The sequence below is a fragment of the Homo sapiens genome, chromosome 4 (genome assembly GCF_000001405.40).
Source record: "Homo sapiens chromosome 4, GRCh38.p14 Primary Assembly".
Lineage (NCBI taxonomy): Eukaryota > Metazoa > Chordata > Mammalia > Primates > Hominidae > Homo > Homo sapiens.
Genome location: NC_000004.12, coordinates 166,401,189 through 166,403,729, shown reverse-complemented (window position 1 = coordinate 166,403,729; position 2,541 = coordinate 166,401,189). Strand labels below are relative to the sequence as shown.

Below are 2,541 nucleotides of genomic sequence, written 5' to 3'. Positions count from 1 at the left end.
TTCTTCTAAGAGTTTATAGTCTAAGCCCTTACATTTACCCTTTAATCAATTTTGATTTAATTTTGAGTGTGGGGTAAGTAAGGGTCCAACTTTATTCGTTTACATATAGCTATTCAGTTTTCCTGCACCGCTTGTTACAAAGACTGTCTTTTCCTCCATTGAATGGTCTTGGCACCCAAGTTTAAAATCACTTGACCATGTATGTGAGGGTATATTTCTGGAATATCTATTCTATTTCATTGGTCTATATGGAAGCCTTTATGCCTGCCCCACTACTCTGTTTTGATTGCTGTAGATTTACAATAAGTTTTGAAATCAGGAAATGTGAAACCTCCAAATTTATTCTTATTTTTCATAATTGTGTGTGTGACACCTTCTTTTTCAAGATTGTTTTAGGTATTTGGTGTCCCTTGAGATTTCAGGTGAATTTTAGGACGCATTTTTCTGTTTCTGCAAAAAACAAAAAACAAAACACACACACACACAAACATTGTTTGGTAGAGATTATACTGAATATGTAGATCACTTTGATTAGTACTGACACCTTAACAATATTAAATTTTCTAAATCATAAATGTGGAATATCTTTTCATTTATTGGTGTCTTCTTTAATTACTTTGGCCAAAATTTTGGAATTTTCAGCATATAAGTCTTTCCTTTTCTTGGTTAGACTTATTCCTAAGAATTTTTATTAACTATCATCTATCTATTCATTTTTGAGACGGTGTCTCACTCTGTCGCCCAGGCTGGAGTGCAGTGGTGTGATCTCGGCTCACTGCAAGCTCCACCTCCTGGGTTCATGCCATTCTCCTGCCTCAGCCTCCTGAGTAACTGGGACTACAGGTGCCCGCCACCACGCCCGGCTAATTTTTTGTGTTTTCAGTAGAGATGGGGTTTCACCGTGTTAGCCAGGATGGTCTCGATCTCCTGGTGATCTGCCCGCCTTGGCTTCCAAGGTGCTGGGGTTACAGGCGTGAGCCACTGCTCCCGGCCAGAATTTTTATTATTTTTGATGTTACTGTAAATGAAATTGTTTTCTTAATTTTACTTTTGAAATGTTCATGTTAGTTTATAGAAACACAACTGATTTCTATGCACTGATTTTGTATCCTATGACTTAGCTAAATTCATTTACTAAATAGTAATTTAATTTACTAAATTAAATAATTTAGTTTCTGTGTGGAATCTTTAAAATTTTTTACATATAAGATCATGTTATCTGTGAGCAGACATAATTGTATTTCTCCCTTTCCAATTTGAATGCTTTGATGAAGTTGTTTTAATTTAAATATCATTAGTTAAAGTAGCAAGTCCTTTAATTTATCTTTAGAAGTTACATTCAATTTAAGATAAACACAAGGCAACAAAACAGAAAAATATTTTATCCAGACTTAACATCCACTTTGAAAAAATTATCATACTCCCATGAGCTTAGTTCCTAAAATAATTAATTTGTCATTTAAAAAATCTCTGCTTTTACTAGTGTATGTGAAATGTTCATAGCTGCCCTCTGCCCCACACATAAACATTGAAACTGAAACATCCCTCAATATTTAAGATGGTTTATACTCTAAATGAGCTACCTGGCCTAAACTACGTTAACTTTTTTAATATATTATTTAAAGATGTGGAAAAGACTATAAGTGCAATACTTTGCAAAGTGTATTATTTTCTTCCTGCTCCAATTTAGGTCAGGTTTCCTCCAAAAAAATTGATAAATATTTAGGACTTAAGCAAGGCAATTATCACTTCTCAGCCTTTTGCCTAAGATCAAGTGAAGTAAAGCACTTGTCAATGGTGACCCCCGAATGAACCTATATTTTCTACATTTGTTTCAGCAGGGAATACAGTAGTGCTTCTCTGTCATCTCTAAAAATATATACTATTTTTATCATGGAAATTTTATGACCATTTTATCAAATAATACACATTTGTATATGAGATTTATGCCTTTGAAGTGTGAGAAGGACATGCTAAGCAGTGAATTTGTACCTGCAGTTTGCATGAATCCTTTTTAATATGTGTGAACAACTGATACATAGAACAGGATTAATTAACTATACAAATTAATTCAATCCATACTTATTTTAATTTTTCACTAATAGGACTATCAAGAATTTTTCCTACAGATACATTAGCATGAGTATGCAAAGATATATATACATACAAACCTATGTGCATAAAGAATATTTCTGCAACTCTGTTTAAGATTCCAATGTTTTGAAACAGCCCAATAAGTAATAATCATCAATAAATTAATATCTATAAAAATGAATATTTATATATTAAAAAGAGTATGTGATAGCTATTGTTAATTTTAAAACACTTCAGAAAATATGCATTGAATGATCGCCTTTTCTAAAAAAAAATATATGTTCTTGTCCATCTAAATGCTACCTACTTGTGTATTAGCATCAATATGATATTGCTTTAAGAAACAAAAGTCTTAGATGCATAAAAGCTTTTAATATAGTTACCTCTAAGGAAGAGTTTTGGTGTGAAAATATTTAGAAAAAGTTATTATAATTTGGATAACTTAAA

The 2,541-nt window shown here is 32.0% G+C and overlaps 1 annotated feature.

The window, feature by feature from the left end:
* Positions 352-521: an enhancer, noted in NCBI's record as "experimental_75970 CRE fragment used in MPRA reporter constructs". NCBI's record gives its function as "activates a minimal promoter by MPRAs in K562 erythroleukemia cells, with activity observed for both the introgressed and non-introgressed 4:167324446 variant alleles {active_cell/tissue: K562}" and the evidence as "EXISTENCE:reporter gene assay evidence [ECO:0000049][PMID:34662402]".